A 16,375-nucleotide genomic window follows, 5' to 3' on the forward strand; every position below is an offset into this window, starting at 1 on the left:
AACCAGTTTTTAAAAATGGAGATAATATCAAGTATCTTCTCTGACCATAATGGAATAACATTAGAAATCAATAGCAAGAGGAACTCTGAAAAATATACAAATACATAGAAATTAAACATGTTCCTGAGTGACCATTGGGTCAATGAAGAAATTAAGATGGGAATATAAACATCTTTGAAATAGATGAAAATGACAATACAACATACCAAAAGCTGTGGCATAAAGTAAAACCAGTGCTACAGGGAATTTTATAGCAATAAATGCCTACATCAAAAAGTATTAATATTACAAAATAACAATCTAACAATGCACAACAGGGAACTAGAAAAACAAGAACAAACCAAACATAAAATTAACAGAAGAAAAGAAATGTTAACAATCAGAGCAGAAATAAATGAAATAGAGGCTAAAAATATAATAAAAAGGAAAAACAAAACAAAAAGTTGGTTCTTCAAAAATGTAAACTAAATTGATAAAGTACTAGCTATAATAACCAAGAAAATAAGAAAGAGGACCCAAATAAACAAAATCAGAAATGAAAAGGGAGACAGACAATTGATACCACAGAAATACAAAAGATCATCAGAGAATATTACCAGCAACTATACAGTGACAAACTGGAAACCTGGAGGAAATGGACAAATTTCTAGAAACATACAACCTATAAAGATTAAAATAGGAGTAAATATCAAACCTGAACAGACTGATAATGACTAGTGAGATTAAATCAGTAATATAAAGTCTGCCAACATAGAAAAGCCCAGGACCAGCTGGATCTGTAGCCATATTTTATCAAACAAAGAAAGAAAAACTAGTATAAATCTTCCTAAAACTATTTCTAAATGTGAAACAGGAGGAAATTCTCTTTAACTCATTCTGTGAGGCCAGCATTATCCTGATTCCAAAACCACACAAAGAATCCACAAAAAAAAAAGAAAGCTGCAGGCCAATATCCCTCACGAACATAGATGCAAAAATATTCAACAAAATACTAGAAAACCAAATCCAATAGCACATCAAAAAGATAATATACCACAATCAAGTGGGATTTATACTAAAAATGCAAGGATGGTTAAACATGCAAATCAATAAAAATGATACATTACGTCAACAGAATAAAGCACAAAACCGTATGATCATCTCAATAGAGGCAGAAAAGGCATTTAATAAAATTCACATTCCTTAATGGTAGAAATTATCTTTAAACTAAGCATAGAAGGAATATTCTATGTTGGGAGACTTTTCATTACTGATTCAATCTCACTACTCATTATTAGTCTGTTCAGGTTTTATATTTATTTCTAATTTAATCTCTAATCAAAATAACAAAGTCTATATATGGTACACCCACAGCTAACATTATAATGAGAAAAAGTTGAAAGCATTTACTTTAAGAACTAGAACACGATAAGGATGCCCAATTTTACCACTCTTATTCAACATAGTACTGGAAGTGCTAGCCAGATCAATCAGGCAAGAGAAAGAAATAAACAGCATTGGAAAAGAGAAACTAAAATTATCCTCATTTGCTGATGATATAATTTTATATCTAGAAAAACCTAAAGACTTTACCAAAAAACCCTCTTGGATTTGATAAATGAATTCAGTAAAGTTGCAGGATAGAAAATCAATGTACAACAATCAATAGCATTTCCATGCACCAATAACAATCTGGCTAAGAAAAACTTAAGAAGGCAATTCCATTTATCATATCTACAAAAAGTAAAATGCCTAGAAATAAATTTAACACAGGAAGTGAAAGATATCTACAGGAAAAACTACAAAACACTTATGAAAGAAATTAAAGGTGACCCAAACTAATGGAAAAGCATCTCACGCTAATGGATCTGAAGAGTTAATTTTGTAAATATGACCATACTGCCCAAAGCAATCTAAAGATTCAGTGCAATTTCTATCAAAATACCTAGCTCACTTTTTTTTTACATAATTAGAAAAGAACTCTAAAATTCACATGGAACGAAAAAAGAACCTGAAGAGCCAAAGCAACTCTGAGCAACAAAAACAAAGCTGGAGATATCGCATTATCTGATTTAGAATTATATTACAAGGCTATCGTAACCAAAATAAGATGGTACTTGTATAAAAATAGACATATATATCAATGGAACACAATAGAGAACCCAGAAATAAAGCCACATGTTTACAGCAAACTAATCTTTCACAAAGCCAACAAGTACATACTTTGGGAAATGGACACCTTCCTGAATAAATGGTGCTGGGAAAAGTGAATAGCCATATGCAGAAGAATGAAACTGGACCCATATCTCTCACCATATACAAAAATCAATGAAAGGTGGATTAAAGACTTAAAAGTAAGATCTAAAAATAAACAAAGACTAGAAGACAACCTAGGGAAAACTCTTGTGGACATTTGTCTGGGCAAAGTATTTATGGTTAAGACCACAAAAGATAACAAAAACAAATGTAGATAAATGAGATTTAATTAAACTAAAAAGCTTCTGCCCAGCTAAAAAAGATCAACAGAGAGAACAGATAACCTGAGAAATGGGGGGAAATATCTGCAAACTATTCATCTGCAGGGGACTAATATTTAGAGTATACAAGGAACTCAAGCAACTCAACAACGAAACCCCCCGAATAATCCCATTAAGATGTGGGCAAATGATATGAATAGACATTTTTCAAAAGAAGACATACAAATGGTCAACAGATAAATGGAAAAGAAAAACAACTCAACATCACTAATCATCAGAGAAATGCAAATCAAAACAACCTTGAGATATCATCTTACCCCAGTCAGAATGGCTGTTATTACAAACTCAGAAATAACAGATTATGGTGAGGATGTAGAGCAAAGGAAACTCTTATACACTGTTGGTGGGAATGTACAGCCTTTATGAAAAAAGCATGGATATTTCTTAAAGAACTAAAAATAGAACTAGCATTCAATCAGCAATCTCACTACTGGTTATCTTCCCAAAGGAAATAAGTCAATACATCAAAAAGATATCTGCACTTGTATATTTATCATAGCACTTTTCACATTATGAAACACAAAGATATGGATGAATTAATAAAGAAAATGTGGCATATATGCACAATAGAATACTGTTCAGCCATAAAAGAGTGAAATTATATCTTTTGCAGCAACATGGATGGAACTGGAGTTCATTATCTTAAGTGAAACTAGACACAAAAAGGCAAATTTCACATGCACTCACTCATAAGGGGGTGCCAAAAAATGTGCTCATGTAGACATTGAGAATGGAATGATAGATAATGGAGACTTGGCAGGTTAGTGGGTGGGAGGAAGGAGGATGATGAGCAACTGATTAATGAGTACAATGTACATTATCAGGTGATGGATACCCTATAAGCACTGACTTGACCACTACTCTACGCATGTAAGTAAATTGCACATGTAACCCATAAATTTTGACAAATAAAAAGAAAAAAGATACACAAATGGCCAATAAGTACATGAAAAAATTCTCAACACTATTAATCATCAGAGAAATGCAAATCAATACCACAATGGGATATCATGTCATCCCAGTTAAAATCACTTTTATAAAAAAGACAGAAAATAACAGATGCTGGCGAGGATGTGGAGAAAGAGGAAACATTGTTCACTGTTAGTGGAAATGTAAACTAGTACAACCACTATGGAGAATAGTATGGAGGTTCCTCAAAAAAATGACAAATGGAATTCCCATATGATCCAGCAATTTCACTACTGGGTATAAATCCCAAAGAAAGGAAATCAATGTACCCAAGAGGTATCTGTACATTGGTAACTATCAGAAGCTAGAAAAGGTAGGGGGAAGGGAAAATGAAGAGAGACTGATTAATGGGTACAAATATAAAGTTTAATACAAGAAATAAGACCTAGATTTGATATATCAGTAGAGTGACAGTAGTTTACAATAATCTAATGTATATTTCAAAATAGATAGAAGAGAATAATTCAAATGTTTCTATCATAAAGAAAACACAAACATTTAAGGTGATGAATCTCCCAATTATGCTGATTTTATCTTTACAAGTTATATAAATGTATCAAATTATCAAATATATGTAAATATATTAAATTATCACACATACTTCCCAAATATACACATCTATTATATATTAATAAAAATAAAAAATTAAAATATCACACGTTAATTATGACATATAGGTAAATTGGCCACTTTTTCAGAACAAAAAGGAAATAACCCACTTGGTATTTTCAAAAGTATTTAAGGATATTTGTGACCTTTTTTGCCACTCCTTTCTGTGAGGTTTTTATAGGAGTTTTGATTTTGAAAAAATTTGGCAAACACATTTAGTTATAAGTTAGCCTACTCATTTTTGGCTGACTTAAAGGGGATGGAAATGGCATTAAAATGTATTATAGGACAGCTGAAAATTTGGGGATCCAAAATCTTAATTTTATTTTATTGTTCACAGAGCCAAATGAAATTGGAAAAAAAAGAGAGCAGTTTACTCTTTATTATGCCCAAGAGAACATGTGATATTAGTCTGGGGATAATCTCATGTGTCTTAATTAAACAAATATTATATGAATATGCATTGGAGGCTTTGACTCAATTCTGATCGTACATGCTTAGCCCAATTTTAGTTATATCCTCACGATATTCTAGATGTTGCAACCACTATCAGTTTCCCAACTAAACAACAGATTCCATATGGACACATCAGTTTTGTAGAGTTCACATCACCAGTTTTTATTTTACAAACTTAATCTCTTTTAATTAATTTTAAGTATCAACATCATGTGCTGAAGGCTACTCATACACCAATTTGAAGACTAGCTTATAAAAAGTCTGAAATATTTATATATTAAATTATCAGAAGTTTTCATAAGGTTAATAAGTTAGATTTGCTTTTATGGAGTGTTGTTCAGCAAATTGTGTATACCAATTGCCAATATCTCTTACTTTATGTTTCATCTGTGCACTCTCATGTATTAGGTCTCAAATATTGTCAATCCTACAAAACAACCATGGTAGAGATAGGGGAGGTGACTTAGTCAAGAGCACATGGGTTTTAGGCTTGTTACCCCAAATTGGCATTGGGGTCAAAAGGACATCAGTCCAGAAGTGGAGAGGAGAGACTTGGTTATGACTTTTATTAGCATGTGACAATACATGAATGTCTTAGCCTCTGGATATCTATTTCCTCAGCTCCAAAATGAGAAGCTTAGATTTAGAAAACTTTTGAAGTCTTTTCCAACCCTGACATTTGCTTCATTCTCTGTTCCTCTATTAAGACAGGCTGCAGACAGGTCAGGATAACATCACTGTCTCCTCTCTTGCTCAACTGACTTATCTTACCCTTGTCTGGCCATTTCTCTTTTCTTCTTAAAATCCAAGCTTAAGAAATCATAGCTGATGTTCTGGAGAAGCTGGATCCTATAAAGGAAGGCATTGGAGTTGACTTTTTCCTAGTCAGTCAAGCTGTTTGTTCCCTCCACCAATACCACAAAATCGTCTTTCTGTTTCCACTTCCAGATTTTTGCTTTGACACATGGGCAGTGAAGAAAACTGCTCCCAAGGCACCTGCAAATTTTATTTCCTTTGGCCACTTTCAACAGGTGTGGTCCTGGTAAGAAACAGGAAGGAATTGACAAGCTGGTCTCTGGAGGACATGGACTAGGCAGCTTCTTCTACCTCCAGCAGCCAGACCTTACTGGACAGGCTCTGTTGAAGACTCTGCTGAAGACTCTCTGAAGATTAGGGGTTATGACACACTCTTGCCTTTGGGAATTGGGACATTCTTCTTTTCTAAGTAATTGCTCTTTCTTTCTTGCACTGCAGGGCTTGTTTAAATAGTTCAACATTGTGTCCACAGTAATTACATGTTCCATTTGGTTTTTCCCTCTTATGTCTTTGGTTCTATGTTTTTGCTAGAACAATCTGTAAGGCCCTTTAGAGTCTGATATTACTTTTAATGAAAGGAATTGTGGACTTTGTAGAGAAAGGAAAGGGAAAAAAGAAAAGAGGAGAGAAGAGAAAATGAGCCACTTTTACTTCCTTCTCAGGTACTCTCCCTATTTTGGAGATTTTTACATAAATGACACATTAGTGGTGGTAGGGAGTGTAAAAAGAGACACCCAATTCCCTCTCAAATCCAATAAAAATACGTGTATGTGTCCAAACAGCCATAGATAGTCAGAGGGTACTCAAAATATATCCCAGAGAATCAGGCTCAAAACCAGTTAACTAAAATGAAATAATTTTAAGATTGAGCAACGGGGACACACACACCAAGGTGATGTAGAGAGATGTAGGAGAGATGTAGACAGAATTTTGAGGAAGATGTCTTTTTTATCTCAGGGCCTTTTAATCTAGGCAGTATTGACGTTTAATGTTAGATAATCCTTTGATGGTGGGGAGGGCGTGCCCTGTACATTAGAAGATGTCTAGCAGCAACCCTGGCCTTTACCCACTAGATAGCTATAGAACTTCCCACTGTTCCAGTTGTGGCAACAAAAAATGTCTCCAGACATTGACAAATGTCCACTATGGGACATGATTTTTTATGGTTGAGACTACTGCTCTATCTTAAATAAATCTTGGTTTTACACTACTCTATTATATTTGACGGAATGGTCTCTACTATAGAGAAGCAAGTTGACCCACCCAAAATCAATTTGACAAAAGCCAATTTTACCAAAAACCCATTTCCCAAAATATCAAATATTGAACGACTAATTCATCGAACAACACATTTACTCAATTCATAAAAAGTTGTTTTAATAAATATTCTTCCCGAACATATTTAAATGAATTACCAGTTAGAATATGTTAATACATATTCATAAGAAATTTATACTCAAATATTTCAATATTTAAAAATGATAGCATTAAATTTTTTTTTTTGTCAAATGAGTAAAACTGGAAAACATAGCAAATTGTTTTTCAATGAATTGGTTTTCAGAGAAGTAATGTCAGGGAAATGATTTAGAGTCCTACCATACCTGTGTCCATGGTAGCCAGAGTGATGTCTCTCCTTGAAAGGCACTCCAATGACCATGATGGTAACTCAGTAGACATATTAAGAAGATGTGTCTCTTGAGAAGGATGAAACCACAGGCATGTTGGTGTCATTTCTCTTTGTGGCAAAGAAAACTGAAGATATCTCATCTTGAGTTCATGTTTTATACATCAGTTCACAAAGCAAATGTATGTATCAGAAGCATTTTTTGAGTTAATATTATGGGTCCTCTGGCTACATTAAAATAGTAACTTGGCCTTTAAACAGAAGGAACAGATAGTAACTTCTCAGGTGGAACTCTGCTTGGTTAGCTCTCTTCATTGACATAATCCTTATCATTTGTCTGTATTCATTCTAAGAGCAGCATGTATAGATCTGGGCAAGAGAAGCAATACTGTGGTACACCTACTGCATTTCAATTAACGTATGAACATTCTATTTGGAAAGCTTATGGAGGCAGGGGAAGTACAGTTATGAAGATGTAGGAAGGAAAATAGAGTTATCCTAACACTTTAATTGCCCTGAAATATTCCTAAAATCTTACTATTAGACTGACTCCTTTGGGTTAAATACTAAGATTGGGAGGAGCAGGTGGGGGAAATCATAGTCTCTGAAAAGATAAAAATGTTACTTAGAAAGAAAGGGTACTGGAAGTGTCACAAAATGGAAGTTCTCTTTAAATTCAAATAAGGCTTAAGGTGATCAGATTACCTGGCTGTCATCTTAGAGCACATTTTCACAGGGGTAATAGAGCATGGGAGGTAGACCCATTTGAGTGAAGGCTGGTGGGAAACACGAGGAGCATGAACTACAGTTTTAAAGGTCTTTAGATGGGTTACTGGAAGTTGGAGATGTCTGCCAGCAGGAATGGGTGGTGGAGGTGGGAAGGGAGAGAAGATTTCAAGTGAAAGTATTAAAAATAGATGGAGGCCGAATCATTCCTCAGGATTTTTATTTTTCATTTGTAAAACTAGGTTTATCCTGGTTGGGAAAACTCAGGAAAGATGTTTTTGGATACTTGGAAGTTTGTTTATTTTATTACTTAACAGCATGTTACAGGTTTAGAACTACCAGAGCAAATATGCTGTTGATTTACCATCCATTCCAGACATGATCATTGATCATGGTACTTTTTTACTGATAAGCTTAGAGTTGGCTTCAGAATCCACCCCATCACATTACTTTTAGCAGTCACTATCGAATGACTAGGGTTAGCACATTAGTTTGAAAAGCTCATTTATCTCTGCTTGGTTGGAGGCCAAGAGGTATACCTATTATTACTCATGAGGTATCCCTTAAGAAATCTCTGCTTTGTAGTGCTCACAAAATTTCTGCCAAACCCAGGTTTTTTTTTCCTTTGTTAGTGCCACCTTTTGGCAATACACTTTGGAGTACGCTTGGCTGGAGATTAACTAGCTTAAAAGCATTTCTCTGATATAGCACATTATTTCACTTTTTCATAGTACTTTGAAAAATTTTTTATTTGAAGGTAGAGAACTAAGCACTCAATAAATACTTATTCATTTGATTTGCTCCAATGCCTTACATCATCGCCAATGATAAATGATATTCAGAAAGTACAGTTCTGTACAACTCAGTCCTCATTTTAATGAAAGATTCTAATCTTTTGCATTTAGAGGGAAGTCAGGAAGTTCATCTTTAGTGGTGAGATGTAGAATCTAATGCCACATAATTATTCTTATGCAGCTGGTCTACGATGCTATATTATTTAATTATGTTTGGCTTTACAAAGGCCAGATTTTTTAGGTACTTGGAAAAAGAGCCCTTATCAGCTTCAGTTTCATTGAAATCTCTCTTTCAGAATAAAATGTGTAACTTTAGCCAAAATAGATAGACTCATACCTTGCTTATAATTATTTCCATGTTTCCCCAACTGTCTTAGAAATTTTTCTGTAAACATGTCATCTGTAGTTGCCTAATTTTGAAATTTTTGAAAGTCAATACCTTCTTCATTACATGCATACATTTATTGCATATACACATACATGAAATATTTAAATATTTTCATCCAGGAGCAGTGGCTCACACCTGTAATTCCACTGCTTTGGAAGGCGGAGGCAGGAAGGTTGCTTGAGGCCAGGAGTTTGAGACCAGCCTGGCCAATGTAGCAAGACCCACGTCTCTAGAAATTTTTTTTTTTTTTTTAAATAGCTAGATGTGGTGGTGGGTACCTGTAGTCCCAGCTGCTTGGGAGGCTAAGGCAGAAGGATTACTTGAGCCCAGGAGTTTGTGGCTGCAGTGAAGTATGACTGTGCCACTGCACTCCAGATTGGGTGACAGCACAAGACTCTGTCTCAAAATAAATAAATAAATATTTTCAACTTCTTCAGATATGTAAATGATGTTCCCATTAGGCTGATGTCTGCCACTGCATCACCATCTGTCTGTTTATTTGTTTATGTGAGCAACATGTATTGAACCTCTAGTGAGAGCCGGAAATGGGGATGGGGATAATAAAAAGATGACACTGAGAGCCTGTGGCATTTCTCCTTTGTTGGTAGCTGCAGAACCAACATCAGCACTCTTTCATTACAGTAACAGGCTAGTCCTCATCTTTTAGTTTAGGGACCACTGAATTAGTTTTTAATCTAAATCTATATTCTCTTAGGATAGTCTTATATTCCATTCTGTAAGTCATATTATTAATATTAATATTAAGCTCTTTGTCAACTAAAGTCTTTATATTCTCATAAGAATTGCTGTTAAACCAGATTCCTTTCATGAACTTGTATAATTGATTCTTTTATTCTAAGTACAGTTTACTTCATCATCACATAACTTCATGTCATATTTTCAAGCCCAGAGAGAATGTTTTGAATTTCTGTCGTGCTGTTATAGATCTCCAAAATATTGGTCTCCTAAGGATTTATAAGCATGCTTTTGTCCTTACATGAATCACTGATAAACATAAGGAACAGGACAAGGCCAGACACAAGCCCAGAAGCATTTTATTTATTCAGTCAGGCACAAATCCCCCTAACTCTGCCAACACCTAGCTTATGTTTCTTCATTTATAAGTTTTTTTTTTGAAAGATTTTGTCAAATGTTTCAAGACATTCTTCCTTATCTACAAATTTCATTCCTCAAAATTATAAATAAAATTACTTTGGAATAACTTTAGCTCGGAATTGGGGATAGGTCATTTTCAGTTCGTAATATGGAGCAAAACATGATAGGTATCTAAGAAAGAGAAAGCAGTCATTGTGTCTTAGGATAGATAGGAGATGAAGAAACAGGAAAAAGTGACACAAAAGAGGAAACAATGGACATAATTAAAGCAATAGATAATAAAAGCCCAATCAAAGTATGGGGAGTAAAAATGAAAAAATTCTGATGCTTATTGAAAGAAAATATCAATAGAATTTCTGGACTTTGTTGGGGAATCAATAAAGATTTGAGTACTCAAAAGGAGGAACTTTGCAGGGGCATCTAATATTTCCAGGTTGGGTAAAGAAATAATTTAAGTAGTTTTCGTTGAAATATTTGTAACATTACATATCATGTAACACTTAATATAGAACAAGAGACATGATTATCAATGTCAATTCCATGTAAATTATAAAGACGTAGATGACTCTTTCATTCATAGTACATCAATTTATACTCTTCCCCTAAGCCTTCCCCCACTCCCATCACTTTCAGCTCTCCAAATGTCTGAAACAAAGGAGTCTACAACTCAAAATGTATAGTAATTGAAGGTTGGAGCAAGAGGTTGAGATTAGAAAATGTTGGAAATCATACAGGAAAAAAAATGGAGGCCTGAAAATCATCATTTTAGTTAAGGCAGTAGAGGAACAAGAGGACTGAAACATAGATTAATTGATTAGTGAGGAAGGAGAAACAAAATATAATGCAAGCAAAGCCAAGGCAATAGTGTTTGGTAAAAGAAAACGGTCAAACCTGTAAAATGTTACCCAAATGAGGTATTCAGACTTGTTTGGAATGACATTATAGGTAACTTTATGTTGTTATAATAAATTTGAGAGGGTCAGTAACATGTTACCCAATGGTTTGTAAAAACGAAGTGTACTAGAGAGATGGCTGGATTGATAGGAGGAATAGCTGTGTTCAACTGCTTGTATACTTTATTTTCAGATGGGGGAGATCTGAGAATGTTTGAAGGCAAGAAGGAGAGAGGCTGGTTTAGAGACGGAGGCTGAAACTGCTAAAGAATTTTTCTTTAATTTAATGTTAATTGCAGGGAAAAAAACATTTGTGGAGATGAGAACACTTGAGATTAAAAGAACAAGAGGAAATCTTATCTTTAGGACAGAGGACAGAGGCCTCTTTCTCTGAGACTGGGTGGTAATGAAAGTATGTAAACAAGGGTAGCTGAGCAAGATAATGTCAGAGAACTTAGAGTGGTCACTTCCAGGACTACTAAAGAGTAGTTCCACTAATTTGAAGTATTGGCTTTCCAATACTCACTTGCTCATCTGCTTGTGAACCTTTATTTGGGACTTTGCTGGTTCATCCTCTATATGACGGTGAACACCCTTAATGTCCCCTTCTCCAAACCTTTGAAAATTCCATTGCAAACAGGTATAAATGGGGAACACAGGCAGGGTCCCATTTACTGAGGCCCATTTACTTTAGCTGTAAATATGGAGTGATTTAAGAGGCATTAGGAAAGCTTCCTGACTTCAAGCATTTGTTTTACCAATGTAATAGAGAACTTGAAATTCCACCTTTAAAAATTTATATTTTGTTTTACTAAGTGTCTTTTGAAAATAAAACCTTTCTTGAGGTTTTGTTCTTTTAAGGTGGCTACAGTTGTTTTTATTTTAATAAATATTTACGTAGGATTGTATTTCTCTTAGAGTTTCTGCTTCCTTCATTTCTTCCTTCCTGTTATTTTTCTTCCATCCTCTCTTCCTTCCTTCTTTCTTTTCTTCCTTCTTTCTTTCCTTCTCATCTTTGTTTCTTCCACAAATAATGAACCTTTACGATGTGCCAAGTATTATCTAAAGCTGGGGATACCAGGATGAATGTGACTCCTCAAATATCTCATCATTTAAAGAGGCACATGTATATCAATTCAACGATAGCATAGTGAAATAACTAGTACCATGGAGATGTGTTGGTCAGTGCACCCAACTCAGGAGATTTCCTAGAGGGTAAGAAAGAAGGACGATGTCACTTGGAATATGCAATACTACTTAAAGCAGGGTGGCTTGGGAGGGGGACGCTGGCAGGTGACCCCCAGCAGTGAGAGGATAGTTATCAGAAGGTAGTAAAACACTGGCGCCACAGAGGGTGCCTATGTCTGTCCTGAACACAGGAACTTTGAGTAATAGCAAGGCAGGCCATAAACCACAATGCCTAATTCTTGAGCTTCAATGTTTTTATTGACTACCAATGAGCAATTAGCACACAACACTATGTGAATCCAACCTAGGGTTAAAATAAAGTGTTTCAATAAATTATATCTCTACTTTCAGACAATAGTGTCATAAATTTGCCAAGCTGATTTTGGAAGCCAGAATAGTCCACATAAATCCATTTTAACTGGGAAGGTTTAGATCTAATCTCAATTAATAATGAACTTCAAACGGGATGTTGTCTTTCCTCCAGCAGTTAACCAAATAAATGTAGATCATTTATATTTTGACTTATCCCTAAGGTTCTCATTGTTGACACTGGAATTATTGTCAGTGGCAAAACACGAAAGGGGAAAGGGAAGAAGAGAACTTGGAAAATGAATTTAAATCCAACTTTTTCGTACTAAACACTTCCCTTCTGTTCAATTTTGTTATTATTTTCACAGAGCTATTAAATGTTGCGTTTGGAGTAAATGTCATTAAAAATCCAGAGGCAAATTAGAAAAATAACATCTGAGTTTAATAAGAAAATATGTGCTTTAGAACTGTATGAGCTGGTGGAAAGAGAGTTCTCTGTACCACACCCCCACACATGCTCCTAGCGCACGCATTTTCCCAGCCCTTCTTCTTAACAAGATTTTCCGACAAAATACCTAGTGACAATGCATTTAACCAATGAAAGAAAATTATCTAGCTGGCTTAGAATTTTATTAGCTGCAATAGTTATGAAGAAACAACACTTTATTTTCCCAAAAATGTCCTGTTGGGACATGACGCAAACCATCCTTCAAATTTGTGATTTGAGAAATTGCACATGGTATTTAGCCGTTGCATTCTTTCTAACTGTCAGCAATGTGCCAGCCAATATTCACATTATAGAACTGGAATACACTAATCTTAGAGATGTTTTAAGGGAAAAATTTTTGTCCCAAATCCACATTAACCTATAGTTAGAAATGATTTTAGGTTGTTTCCAGGTGATTACTAGAATGTTCAGATGGCCTGATTAATAATAAAAATTAGCTCAGGAAATTGTTGATGATTCTTCTTTGAACATATTGATCTGAGTGTGCCATTCATTGCCATGGGTTTAGAAATATCTAAGATACTTATTTTCTGTTACATCATAGCTTGATCTGGAACTCACTTTAGTAATGATTCTATCTAATAGTTTTAATTCTTTCTTCAGATCAAGGATTTTCATAAACTCTTGGTGAAGTAGGGAAAAGGGATGACTACTGATCAGTCACATCACCTATTACACTACAGTCAATCCCATGTAAAATCCAGAGGCAAATTAGAAAAATCACATCTGAGTTTATTAAGGAAATATTTGTTTAGAACTGTACAAGCAGGTGGAAAGAGAATTCTTTGTACTGCAAATCCCATTCACAGATCCCCACTCACTCCCCTCATCCCCATTCCAACCCTTCCCCTTAATTCTCCAACAGGATATCTAGTGAAAAGCACTTAACCGATGAGAGACAACTGTCTCACTGGCTCCATGAGTGAGTCTAATGTCAGGAGAGCTGGAGGGCTAGTGCAGAAGGGCATGAACACGGTTTGAAAAACCCCCTGTCCTCACCACACACCAGCAGCCCCTCATGTAGCTGAGAATCACTGATGTATAGACACCTTCATAACACTAATTAATCCTGAGCCTAAATAAAAGAAGCTCACATGAGAGACATTTATGCACTTCAGTAAAATTACTACTGAAAACATTTTGCACTGTAGCATAATGTTTCTTAAGAAAATCATTTGGATACTTTCTTCTTAGATTTCAGTTCCTGGAAAATTTATCTTCCCTAATCAAAGAAACACAAAAATTAAGAATATTAATAACAAAATAACTGAAGAAAATAGCATGAAGTGTGGCCAAAGTTCATTGAAGGTGGAGACCAATCATGTTTATGATTTGCTTTGTGTCTTGGCTCTCAGAAAGCTCAGATTTTTATTTCATATTAATTTGCAGCACTTACCTTTCTTTCAGGTTGCTGCTAAGAATGATCAGTATTGATTGCTCCCATTATTTGACACTTAAGCTGCTGTTTTTCATTTAATGTTACTTTATATGTCTTTGATTTTAAGTTGTCTCAAATAATTTCTGATACAAAAGAACAATAAATAATACAATAAAAAATAAAACTGCTCTATTTGTTCCATTTGAGACTGCTCAAGCCTCAACTTTCTTTTCTGATACTTCTTTTTCATTACTCATACCTAATTATTCATGTGTTCTTTCGATTCTTTCTTAAGATGTCTCTTTCCTGGCTTTTATCCTCACCATTTTCTTTTTCTCTCACTTTCTCTCTTTCTTTCTTCTGCCCCATTCCTTCCTTCCTTCCTTCTTTCCTCCCTCCCTCCCTCTCCTTCCTTCCTTCCTTCCTTCCGCTCTTTCTCCCTTTCTTTCTTTCATCCTTTGATCTCCTCTTTTCTTTCTCTGTTTTTTTTTTTTGTTGTTGTTGTTTTTTTTTTGTTTTTTTTTTTGAGACAGGGCTTTCTTCTGTTGCCCAGGCTACAATGTTTGGCATAATTATGGCTGACTGCAGCCTTGACCTTCTTGGATCAAGTAATCCTCCCTCCTCAGCCTCCTGATCAGCTGCAACCACAGGCGTGTAGCACCATTCCTGACTAGTTCTTTTTTTTTTTTTATACTTTAAATTTTAGGGTACATGTGCACAATGTGCAGGTTAGTTACATATGTATACATGTGCCATGCTGGTGTGCTGCACCCATTAACAAGTCATTTAGCATTAGGTATATCCCCTAATGCTATCCCTCCCCCTCCCCCACCCCGCAACAGTCCCCAGAGTGTGATGTTCCCCTTCCTGTGTCCATGTGTTCTCATTGTTCAATTCCCACCTATGAGTGAGAATATGCGGTGTTTGGTTTTTTGTTCTTGTGATAGTTTACTGAGAATGATGATTTCCAGTTTCATCCATGTCCCTACAAAGGACATGAACTCATCCTTTTTTATGGCTGCATAGTATTCCATGGTGTATATGTGCCACATTTTCTTGATCCAGTCTATCATTGTTGGACATTTGGGTTGGTTCCAAGTCTTTGCTATTGTGAATAGTGCCACAATAAACATACATGTGCATGTGTCTTTATAGCAGCATGATTTATAGTCCTTTGGGTATATACCCAGTAATGGGATGGCTGGGTCAAGTGGTATTTCTAGTTCTAGATCCCTGAGGAATCGCCACACTGACTTCCACAAGGGTTGAACTGGTTTACAGTCTCACCAACAGTGTAAAAGTGTTCCTATTTCTCCACATCCTCTCCAGCACCTGTTGTTTCCTGACTTTTTAATGATTGCCATTCTAACTGGTGTGAGATGGTATCTCATTGTGCTTTTGATTTGCATTTCTCTGATGGCCAGTGATGGTGAGCATTTTTTCATATGTTTTTCGGCTGCATAAATGTCTTCTTTTGAGAAGTGTCTGTTCATGTCCTTCCCCCACTTTTTGGTGGGGTTGTTTGTTTTTTTCTTGTAAATTTGTTTGAGTTCATTGTAGATTCTGGATATTAGCCCTTTGTCAGATGAGTAGGTTGTGAAAATTTTCTCCCATTTTGTAGGTTGCCTGTTCACTCTGATGGTAGTTTCTTTTGCTGTGCAGAAGCTCATTAGTTTAATTAGATCCCATTTGTCAATTTTGGCTTTTGTTGCCATTGCTTTTGGTGTTTTAGACATGAAGTCCTTGCCCATGTGTATGTCCTGAATGGTAATGCCTAGGTTTTCTTCTAGGGTTTTTATGGTTTTAGTCTAACATTTAAGTCTTTAATTCATCTTGAATTAATTTTTGTATAAAGTGTAAGGAAGGGATCCAGTTTCAGCTTTCTACATATGGCTAGCCAGTTTTCCCAGCACCATTTATTAAATAGGGAATCCTTTCCCCATTGCTTGTTTTTCTCAGGTTTGTCAAAGATCAGATAGTTGTAGATATGTGGCATTATTTCTGAGGGCTCTGTTCCATTCCATTGAGCTATATCTCTGTTTTGGTCCCAGTACCATGCTATTTTGGTTACTGTAGCCTTGTAGT

Source organism: Homo sapiens, chromosome 3 (genome assembly GCF_000001405.40).
Source record: "Homo sapiens chromosome 3, GRCh38.p14 Primary Assembly".
Taxonomy (NCBI): Eukaryota; Metazoa; Chordata; class Mammalia; order Primates; family Hominidae; genus Homo; species Homo sapiens.